Below are 12168 nucleotides of genomic sequence, written 5' to 3' on the forward strand. Positions count from 1 at the left end.
CTCTTCAATTGCTTCTGTGTTGGGGAAAATATAATCTATAAATGGCTCTGATCTACTGTCATTATCACATTATGTGCAAACACAAAGGCTTAATTTTTTTGACAAGCCCGGTATTTTTACTGTTAGGTTCAAAAAACATAAAATTACTCAGTCAAAATGCTATCAAAGTTTCTTCTTGTTTACTTTCAATTTCTATACTTATAATGGACTAATGACAGTTTGCCATCCACAGAACAAACTTTGAGTAGTGCTGCAGTAAGGCATAGGATGGCTCAGGACCTGTTCAGCGTCTATATTTGCAAAACCCAGAAAGGCAGGAGAAGTTAAACACCTGATAGGGTAATGTTTAATCAAGAAGGAATAAGAGCTGACAGATAAGGGTCTGAGACTTGTCAGATGTCTTTTCTGATGATGTTATGGCATTGAGCGACAGTCACCCATAGCCATGGCTAATTCTATAATGCATCCTCCTGCTTGTGCAAAACCTTAGATTTTTAAAACTAACCTTTATTTTGGATTAAAGTTGTTTAGGAGTTGTATTATGTCCCTTTTTCAACTGTTTTTCTTCACAAAAATGTTCAAGCTCTTGGTTTTCTCCTGAATCATATTTCATTCAAGAGTCCTATGCTTCCTGTGCATCTTACTCTACAACTTTAATGACTTTTCAAGTTTTCTTTAATCTAATGAATCATTTTTACATTATCCAGAACTCTAACTAAAACAAACAAAAATCTACCAGTCACTTTCTCCATTGAGTAAATTATAAACTTACCAGGGTACTAGCCACTACCAAACTTAATAACCCATTATTTAATGTATTCAAACTTCCATTTCCCAGCCAAGGAGCATCACAATCTTAGATAACTTTCTTCTTTATGTGATTAGTGATACCAGCAGTGGGCTTTAGGTTCAGGGCCATTTCTTAAAAGATAACACTTTTCCCCTCATCAAAGAATACCATGCACTTAACAATGAGTACAGAATACATTACACAAAACCTTGTCTCAGAAATATTATAGATTGCTACACGGCATAAACCTATTGAATGAAGACACAAATGCCAAAGATCGTTATACACTTATATAATATGATTCTAAAGTTCGGAAGAATTTGATTTCGCCAATAATGTATAACTGATCTTCTTAACATAAAATGCCTTCTATAATCAACAAAAGTATCAATTTACTTAGTAGATTTCATTTGAAACATGCAAAGTCAGCTTGGTTTCAAAAAAATGTTTATTTAAAAACATGGTTTAAAAAGAAACACTTCATAAAAACTTCTGAGTCAATTTAAAATACATGTATTGATCACCTAGTATGAACATGTCTCTTGCATCAAACAACACAAAATCAAAACCTTGTCACAAAGTTCGGGTGATTATTCTTGGACAAGATCCTTAATTTTACTGCAGAATAATTTTTAAAAATAGGTAGTACATGCATATGATACAAAAGGGTGTAACGTAAGAATTAAGACTCCTTTGCAGTATAGTTCAGTTAACTTTAGGGAATACTAATGTCTAAATAATCTCATTCTGGTCTGCCATGTGTGAACCTTATTTGGATCTGATTTTTTTTTAACAGGGTAAAATAGTATATTTAAATAATCTGGAAAAAACTGAACACAGACCATCAATTAGATAATTAAGAATTATTAATTTGGTTGGGAAAGATAATACTGTGCAGTTATATTAAACAAAAAAGTCTTCATCTGTTAAAAGTACATATAAAAGCATTTACAGATGAAATATGTCATTTTAAAAATACTACAGCAAAAAAATTAACAATAAAAGAGAAGAGAAGGTAAATGGATTATATGAAATATGAATAACAAAAAATTAATGGTTTTTGGAGCCAAGGTAGTGGATTTCCAGAGGTTCATGGTGCTATTTTTCCCTCTGTAGAATGTTTGGAAATGCCCCGAACAGTTTAATACCACCTGCTTTCAGAGCTTATCATGTCTACAATATTCTCGGTAACACACAGAAATAACAGTAACACAGAAGAATGTTATCTAATTTGAATGAATTCTTTTTTTAGGCCAAAAAAAAATATGTAACTGTTAAAGTTTCAATATTGAAACTAGAAAAGATAAGCATAAAAAATATAAATAGTAATATACGTTTGTGCTTAGCTTAAGACTCGAGTATCTATAAGTGAGGCTTGCTGAAATAATTTAGTAGCACATACCTTCCATAATATGACAATATTCAAATCTACCTCACTGCATTTTTGAATCAATCTCACAGCATCCTCTGTTGACTGTTTTTCTGTATGCACAGGCAAGTGAGCTTGTGGTTTTTTCAATTCAGAAGATAAACTTCGATAAAAGAAGTCTGCACATGGGCTTGCTGAACTTATTATCTGTTAAAAGAAAATCACTTGTGTTCATAAATGCTTTTAATTATGTTGTCAAAATTTATTTTGTATAACTCAGTTTTAATTAAATATATCCTGCCAAAATTTTTATTTCTATAGCTTATACATACCCAAAATACTTATTCAATAATTCTTGTCAATGTAGTTGAATACAGGGAGGCCACTTGAACATTCAAAAGATTTGGTACAAATTACCCTAAATCTTTTTTTTTTTTTGATACAGGGTCTTACTCTGTCATCCAGGCTGGAGTGCAGTGGTGCAATCTCAGCTCACTGCAACCTCTACCTCCTGGGCCCAAGCAATGTTCCCATCTCAGCCTTCCGAGTAGCTAGGTTACAGGTGCGTGCCACCACTCCCGCCTAATTTTTGTAGAGACGGGGTTTTGCCAGTTTTGCCATGTTACCCAGGGTGGTCTTGAACTACTGAGCTCAAGCATTTGCCTGCCTCAGCCTCCCAAAATGCTGGGATTGCAGGTGTGAGACACTGCACCCAGCTGCAAGTTACCCTGAATCTTAAAGCCGTCACCCCAAAATAATTAAACTACGCTCCCATAACATTAGCTTTGACCTTCCAAGTATCTAGGGAGAATGAATGGGTATCACCAAGAAAATAAAAATAAAATGTTGAAAACCTGTATTTTAAAATGACAGAAATATTTCTCATTTAAATCCAAGGCAATATCCAATGAAGCAGAATGCAAATAGAATTATTAGCATTAACTTGGCTTTCAGGCTTAAACAATGAAAGCATGAGATAAGAATTTTAAATGGACTCAATTACAGGATTTCCCTTAACTAATGAATATTATGCCACATAATAACATCTTTATATTTATGGTTTCCTGTATTACAGGCTATGTATATATCATGTAGATGTTAAACTTCAAGTTAATTATTAAATAAGTATTAAATATGAATATATACATTTTCTCCTTATGAGCGAACTTCTTGTAAAACACTGTCCCCATAGTTTTCTCATTAATCTGTAGTGCTTGGCAAGTTCTATTTATTCAACCAGGTTCATCAAAATGAAAAATGTGTTTCTTTCTGCCTTCACCAGTGCTCTTACACTAAATTATTTAACAACAAACACAATAAAAATTACAATACAAGAGTCCTGCTGATGTTTCTGGGATTTTAAAAGTTTTTAAAGAAATTTAAAAAAAAATAACTAAAGTCCTGAAAACTAAATTCAACTATTCAGGAAGCACAGTATCTCTGAAAGTAATGCATATTTTGAAATTACTGAGCTTTTGAAACTTGGAGATATTTCTAAATAGCTGTTTCCTCAAATGGTAAAAAGATAATGATGAGTCAGATGAAAGCAAATGATAAAAGAAGTACAAAAATATAAGGATGTTTAGAATTATCAAGGAGACGAGCAGAAAGAAGAAATCATCCCACTAATAGCACACAATTATATGAACTTTTACACCCCAGATTCAGCATTTTTCAAAGCAGGTCACTACTTCAGATTATCTTCAGGGATAGCTTAAAATGCATACTCCCAAAGTCCACCCAAGATATAATCAACCAGAGCTTTAGAGGTAGGGGAGGTAAAGCCTGTATTTTTACAAAATCTAGGTCCAATTATGGTCTGCAGGCTAATAATGTCAACCTCACCTAGGAGCTTGTAACAATTTAGAACCTCAGGTTCTACCCAAGTCCTGTGGAATCAGAATTTGCATATTAACAAGATTTCTGATAATTTACATTGGACACATTTTGAAACTTTGAATACCACTGTTCTAGGAGGCTCTTTTTTTTTTTTTCTTTTAAGAGACAGGGTCTTGCCTTGGTCTCTGACACCCAGTCTGGTCTTGAACTCCTGGCCTCAAGCAATCCTCCTGCCTCAGCCTCCCAAAGTGCTGAAATTACAGGCATGAGCCACCACATCTGGCCCTCTACGTAACTCTTATACATAATTAGGATGGAATATCACTGCCCTAGAGAGTAATAGCTTTAAAATCACAATGGAGTCTTATGTATCTACCTTATTATCTGGGTCTCAGAATATGATATGATATGATACGGTATGCCAAAATTCAGAGGGTTATCATCTATATATTCCATTGTGACCACTTTCCCTAATAGAAAAGCTCCCTCATATAATCTTGCTTTTTAAAAAAAATATCCCAAGAACTATACTTACTTCATACGATAGTCTCAAAAGAAAGTTAATTTTAAATAACTACTTAAAATGGTATAGTCCATAAGCATTTTTGGTTTGTTTTGGGGACTGAAGGCAGGTTGCAAAACTCAATAAAGTTCAGATGTTTATTATCCTCCAAAGAGTCTGAGGAGGCTGGGTGCAGTGACTCACACCTGTAATTCTAGCACTTTGGGAGGTTGAGGCAGGCAGATCACTTGACCTCAGGAGCTGGAGACAAGCCTGGGCAACACAGTGAGACCCTGGTCTCTATAAAAAATAAAAAAACTAGCCAGGTGTGATGGCTGATGCCTGTAGTCCCAGCTACTCAGGAGGCTGAGGGGGGAGGATCACTTGATCCTGGGAAGTCGAGGCTGCAGTGAGCTGTGATCACGCCACTGTACTCCTGGGAGACAGAGCAAGACCTTGTCTCCCCCCCAAAAAAAAGCGTTTGGGAATTACTGCGATAAGCCTTGCCAAAAATACCCAGATATGCTATAACTATGACTTAACATCAAACACTACTATGCTTACTTGCATACCTGTTCATTTCCAAAGATGATATCTGCAAAGGTATATTTTTCAGAGGACTGTGTGGCCGCTAAAAAACAGGGGAAAACAAACTAATCATATCATTGGCATAAAATATAAAATGACCATTTAGTAAAGTGTAAAAGTAAAGTGAATTTACCTTCTTCTTTCTCACATCTTATTGCCTTAAAGCAAAACTTTCCCTTCTCCCTACTGGCAAGTTTGGTATCTAGGAAGAAAAAGGGAAATTTCAAAGATGTTTCTCAGTTCATCACATGATAAAAACCAATTCATTATTTAGACTTCCTTGGTCAAAATAGAAAATAATTCGTAATTATAAATAATGTTTAATGAAGAACATCTTTGTTTTTATCTCAATGAAATGACCTCTTAAAAAGGATAAATTTCAATTTTCTCAAAATACATATCCATGTGTGCACATGTATATATATATATGTATTCATATATGCGACATTTCAGATAAACAGTAAGTTTGAAAGATCAGAACACAGGGACTGGAAAGCCCATAATCCTGCCACTCTACCACTTCTTCATTTCCTTTCAGTATGTTTCATATGCATGATTTATACCAACATTACTATACGAACACACTCTGCTATATGTTTTCCCATAATTGCAGGCACTTTTAAAATGGTACTTTAAGTAATTTCTGGTACACATTCTTTTGTTTGAATGTTATATAAACATGACAATTCACAGAAAAGCCAGTCAGTACGTAGGTATGGCTATTCACAGATAAACTCACCAGTGGTAAAGGAAACAAAGAGAAAATTCCATATTCTAGTCTATATATTTTTGTACCAGTTAAGTTTTGTTTTGTTTTGTTTTTTGTGACAGAGTCTTACTCTGTTGCCCACGCTGGAGTGCAGTGGCATGATCTTAGCTCACTGCACCCTCTGCCTCCCGGGTTCAGGCAATTCTCCTGCCTCAGCCTCCCGAGTAGCTGGGATTACAGGCGCCTGCCACCACGCCCAGCTAATTTTTGTAGTTTTAGTAGAGACAGGGTTTTACCATGTTGGCCAGGCTGGTTTCAAACTGCTGACCTCAAGTGATCCGCCCATCTCAGCCTCCCAAAGTGCAGGAATTACAGGCGTGAGCCACCACACCCAGTCCTGGTTGAATTTTTGACAGTAATCATGTACCCAAGCACTGATTTTACAATAAAAAACAAAAAGAAGAAAATACAAGTATAAAAGATGTGGGAGGGAATTTAAAAAATGGGAAAGACTGGATCAAGATAGGTAATTTGACTTACAGTTAGGTAAACTAATGAAATCACAATTTAATGCTTAAAAAAGTTAATCCTAATAATCTTAAGACATTCTGGTACTATTCTGGAAAACCAAGTAATGAAGTTTCAAAATTTATTATGTAGCAGGAAAAACAAACAAACCTTTGTTTTCAGAAAGATTTACAGATTTCTGTAACTTCCAGTGTTTGCTACTACTTGATACTTGCACTATGTGGAATTCCTTAACGCCTGCTTCACTCTGTCAAAAAAAAAGATAGGAGTCATTCAGGATTTAGAAGCACTAAATCAGAATGTTCCGATGAGAATAAAATTCAGACACTGCTACCAAAGTCAATGTCAATTAACATAAGATGCAATTACAATATACATTTCCAAAAACTTATTTAAATCCCTTTCTAAACACTTTCAGAGACATCAACATTTTGTCCAAGAAGTATTTTTGACTATAATGCATACTCAATGGTAAATTTTAAAATACTGAAAGCCACTGAGTTATTAAAGCCTATCACAATGAGCTATTGGTAGTATTTAAAAGATAAAAAATTGTCAATTTTTAATCAAAATTATGGCATTTTCTTTTTATTTCTCTACTCTGAGATATCTCATTCTTATTAGGCAAAAAAACAAGCAACAAAAACTCACATAACAGAATCCTAATATATGGTCAGTACACATGAAATTATTTAAGTAGCATGTATTTTTTTAATTCTCCTGAATAAAAGCTAATCTGAAATTATTAAAATATTCTCACTCTTACTATAAAAATATTGATTTTTGGGGGGAGATCACCAAAGTACAGCACATTAGCCCTAAATATCCTAGAAAGCAGACACCTTACAAATTTAAGAAGTTAAAAGTAAAGAACATTACAGAATTAAGTAACATTTCAAATAAGTACCTGAATTGAATCAATCTAATGCTAAGAGTCCTATTTCAAACATGAGAGATCACACTCTCATCTTTGAGAATACTCATTTTTGGCCGAGCACGGTGGCTCACGCCTGTAATCCCAGCACTTGGGGAGGCCGAGGTGGGCGGATTACGAGGTCAGGAGATCGAGACCATCCTGGCTAACATGGTGAAACCCTGTCTCTACTAAAAATACAAAAAAATTAGCCGGGCGTGGTGGGTGCCTGTGGTCCCAGCTACTAGGGAGGCTGAGGCAGGAGAATGGCATGAACCCGGGAGGTGGAGCTTGCAGTGAGCAGAGATCGCGCCACTGCACTCCAGTCTGGGCGACAGAGCAAGACTCCATCTCAAAAAAAAAAAAAAAAAAAAAAGAATATTCATTTTTACAGCCTGGCCAACATGGTGAAACCCTGTCTCTACTAAAAATACAAAAAAATGAGCCAGGCATGGTGGCATGTGCCTGTAATCCCAGCTACTTGGGAGGCTGAGGCATGAGAATCACTTGAACCCAGGAGGTGGAGGTTACAGTGAGCAACCTGGGTGACAGAATGAGAACCTGTCTACAAAGAAAAAAGAAAAAAAAATGTTCATTTTTATATTAGAGTGCATAAACAGGAATGGCAATATTTCAGAAATTTACTATATAAAGGAAATGGCACTGTTAGAAATGTGCAAGTGAAGATTACCAAGTTAATATTGAATGTGATATATTAACAGAACCTCACAATTTAGTAACACCAATGGATCTCAATGGTGAGACCTAGAAAGTATTTTATGAGATCTTTTAGAATGAATTAATGGAACTATATAGCATATCAGTGTGTACCATATTAATATCAGAAGATCTTTTTATTTGAAGACAGACTAAGGGATAAAATCACAAATCTAATGAAGAATTAAGATGATTTCATACTATTCTACATGAACATTCCTAAAATCCCTAGCTTATGCTGTCTTGTAAAGGAAAACAAAAACCACTACTAAACACAAGGGAAACACTTCAAATATAATTAAAAACAAAATTCAGTTTTAAACCAACTTACAGTATTGGTATTTTCCACATCCACAAAGACTAGCATATTGCCTCCTCTGCCTTCTTCATTTTCAAGAGAATTACTTCTGCAGACAGTGGCCCGTACATTTAAAGACCGACTGGTACAAATAATTGCAGTGTGTCTTAATATTCTGTGCCTGAAGTTAAAAAAAAAAAAAAAAGCACATTTAAGCACAGAGTCTCTATGTTATAATTATCTAATTCCAAATAAAGATTTTAAAAACTGATCACTCTCAGGACCATTTATACTCTAAAAATCCATAGAATACATTAAGTAAAATTACATAGTTAGCCTAACTTCAGTTCAATTCTTTCTATCCAATTTGGAAGGAAACTACTAGTCTCCCTGTCTAAGTTTTTGCCCTGCTTATCAAATTCATCTGTATAACACATAAAAATAATCTTCATATGGTAATGTTCTGATTGTGCTTCTTTCTCTCTCTTTTTTTTTTGAGACAGAGTCTTGCTTTGTCACCCAGGTGGGAGTGCAGTGGGGTGATCTCAGCTCACCACTGCAACCTCTGCCTCCCAGATCAAGCGATTCTCCTGCCTCAGTCTCTGAGTAGCTGGGATTACAAGCATGTACCACCACACCCTATAATTTTTGTATTTTTAGTAGAGATGGGGTTTCGCCATATTCATCATCTTCATCATAAGGTGTCTGCTTTCTAGGATATTTAGGGTTAATGTGCTGTACTTTGGTGATCTCCCCCCAAAAATCAATCATATTCACCATCTTCATCAGCCATATTGGTCAGGCTGGTCTTGAACTCCTGACCTTAAGTGATCTTAAGTGAGGCCCACCTCAGCCTCCCAAAGTGCTGGGGTTATAGGTGTGAGCCACTGCGCCCAGCCTTGCTTCTAATAGTGGTTCTGAAGCTACTGAATGACTACCAAATAAAGTTCAAACTTTAACCTGGTATTCAAAACTCCTCACCATATATAAGCTTTACATTTCAAAGGTTTCTTCCTCTTTACTTCTTTTACAAAAATTTTACACTGTGGCTGAACTAACTACATTCAGTTTGTGTTCTCTAATCTGTAAATCTTTACAAATAAAATATATACAGCCGCTCCCTAGAATAATACCCACTACTCTCTTGCATATCCCTCCCTTGATATTCAAATGCTAAAATCTTTTTTTTTTTTTTTTTTTTTTGAGACAGAGCCTTGCTCTGTCACCCAAGCTGGAGGACAACGGTATAATCACGGCTCTCTGTAGTCTTGACTTCCTGGGCTCAAGCGAATCTCCTGCCTCAGCCTCCCAAGTTATTCCTAGTTAATTTTGTAAAAATGACAATGGAGGTATCAAAAGAAAATATTCTGTTGAACAAAATATAGGTCATAGATCCTGGATGAGCCAGTTAGCTTTGATTTCTTCAGTGATCATCTATTGTAACACCATTATAATCTTCTCTTCTGTAAATATGTACTGTTTTTCATACATTCTTGTGGGGCAAGGGGGAACACTAGGGAAAAGGTAAAACAAAACAATTTTCTTAAAAAAGGATGACTGAGACGACCAGGCAGGTTGTCTTCATACATAAATGACGCCCTATTTTAATACATGGTACCTGTTAATTTCATTATTATGTGATAGCTCTGTCTACAGTACTTAAATCGTATCAAACAATTGAGAAGTTTACAGACAGAAGCAACTAAAAAAATGTGTGCCGTTAAATTTTATTTTTTCATTTTTGGGTACCTAGAACTTACAGTTCTATTTGAGACAATTTCAGATATAAATATCCTGCATAATCTGGAACAGAGTAATTTCTTAACATGTTAGTAAATATCAAAATGTTTATCTGAATATGTGCATATACATTGAACATAGATGTTAAATTTTATAAGTTTTATAATACTAACCGTATTTTTGGCTGCTTTTTGACACTTTCATAGTAAAACAAAAAGTTAATTTCATGGACACCTTCTTCATCAGGCCCACGTAACCACATTGGCAGCTGCACTGAGGCTCCGGGTAGAAGAACAGTGTCAGGAAGGGGAACAGGAATCACCTCTGGTTGACTTCCTGTGCCAATGCCAAAGTCTACAGAAGAAGCTGATGATATGAGTGCTGTACACACAGAGGTAGCATCTGTCACAACAGTCTTGTAAGCACTACAATTCTCAGAAGCTGAGGGACTTAGTGGTGTTAGAACAGCAGTATTACCACCGAAAGTAAAGAACTCTGGACGTTTAGAAACAACCTTCAATCCAGTAAGTGGACATTTGCTGACATTGACAAATTCTACATATGCTTTTCGGATTTCTCCACAGAGAAGCCCTGTAGGAAAATGTATAAAGAACACCTGCATTGGAGGGAAAAAATATTATTATTTGTCTGTTAAAAATTTTGAACCTCTAATGAATAACACTTTAAGACACTTTTTTTTTTTTTTACCAAAGGTTTACAAGTGTTTCATTAATTCTTTGGTATCTCCCTGAATATGTGGCAGTTAATGACTCCATTTTAGAAAATATGATGAGACAGAAGAATGTTACTCTGCCACTCAGTAGTGATTCTAGACTTATGAATTAAAGGTATACTATCAGTACACAAGAGGGCTAACATGTCAAAATTTCACAACTTGGTAGATTATGGACCAGAAAAGTTGAAAGTAATTTAACACGGCTATATGAAGTAAATATCAGTTTTATAACCCTTATAACTGTCAACTAAAGAAGCAGCTCAACTACTTATGTCTATATCATCAAGATGAAAAGATATGCCAGATTTACTATGGGTTTTAAAGTGAAAGAATGGGCAGATCTATGATTTCATATCCATAATTTTAAAATCCAAAAAACTCCAACCTCAGGCTTTTAGTAACTCATGTGGGGGCAAAACCTGACCTAATAGAGGCTTTTTATATTCTTTCCCATTTAGTGTGATATTAATACAGTTCATGCAAGAAATATTAATGTTTGGTTACTAGGTGCTGCCACAAAGCAATGGGGTTTACATAACTTCACACACACACTTCTAAAAAAAATTTTTAAATTGATTTCCAACACACATGTGGCCTCAATATTTCAGATGAGGGATTGTGGACTTGTGCTTAAAGAGACAGAAATTTGGGCTAATGAAATCATACAGTAAGTTATCTGCATTTAAAAGATCTTTAAGTATACTGGCTGGGCACAGTGGCTGATGCCTGTAATCCCAACACTTTGGGAGGCCAGAGTTGGTGGATCCCAGAGTTGGTGGATCCCTTGAGCTCAGGAGTTCAAAACCAGCCTGGGCAACATGGTGAGACCTGTTTCTATCAAAACTACAAAAAATGAGCCGCACGCCTGTGGTTCCAGCTACTGGGGAGGCTGCAGTGGGAGGACTGCTCGAGCCCAGGAAGCAGAGGTTGCAGTGAGCCAAGATTGTGCCACTGCACTCCAGCCTGGGTGACAGAGTGAGACCCCATCTCAAAAAACAAACAAACAAACAAACAAAAAAACAGATATTTAAATGTCACAACTAACATCTAAGCAAGCAGGAAGATAAAGGTAACAATATGAGTGAAATGTTCTAATAAAGTTATAGCTGGCAGTCACTTCATGAAATTCCAGTGAAAATATGTTTTTGAATCTAAATGTGAGTGGGACTTCATTATGGCCATATTCTTAAAAAGAAAAAAATCAGATGAAATTTGGGGACATTAGAAGCTTTAAAAATAAATGAGAAAACAAGGGATTAATGTAGAAATCCCGCACATAGATTTAATAGGATAAAAAAATAAGCTAGACATAGCATTATACTGAAGACACTGACTCTCTGTACTGATTAGTCAGTGTCAAGCTTATAGTCGAGCTAAAACTTGTGGAGGAATTATTAATTTTGTTATTACATCCAACACAGCTGCATTAACAAAAAGTG

At 35.6% G+C, this 12168-nt stretch overlaps 1 protein-coding gene across 11 annotated transcripts in view; it reads right to left on the minus strand.

The window, feature by feature from the left end:
* Nucleotides 1-12168, minus strand: part of TRAPPC8 (trafficking protein particle complex subunit 8) — a 113932-nt gene that overhangs the window by 18177 nt on the left and 83587 nt on the right. For all 11 annotated transcript variants that reach the window (XM_017025616.3, NM_014939.5, XM_005258234.4 and 8 more), the window contains 6 exons: nucleotides 10167-10609; nucleotides 8287-8434; nucleotides 6476-6572; nucleotides 5222-5290; nucleotides 5073-5131; nucleotides 2193-2366 (listed from right to left, as the gene is read on the minus strand). In XM_017025616.3, the coding sequence (XP_016881105.1) occupies nucleotides 2193-2366; nucleotides 5073-5131; nucleotides 5222-5290; nucleotides 6476-6572; nucleotides 8287-8434; nucleotides 10167-10609 (990 nt within the window). The remainder of the gene's footprint in view (nucleotides 1-2192; nucleotides 2367-5072; nucleotides 5132-5221; nucleotides 5291-6475; nucleotides 6573-8286; nucleotides 8435-10166; nucleotides 10610-12168) is intronic.

The sequence above is a fragment of the Homo sapiens genome, chromosome 18 (genome assembly GCF_000001405.40).
Source record: "Homo sapiens chromosome 18, GRCh38.p14 Primary Assembly".
Classification (NCBI taxonomy): Eukaryota; Metazoa; Chordata; class Mammalia; order Primates; family Hominidae; genus Homo; species Homo sapiens.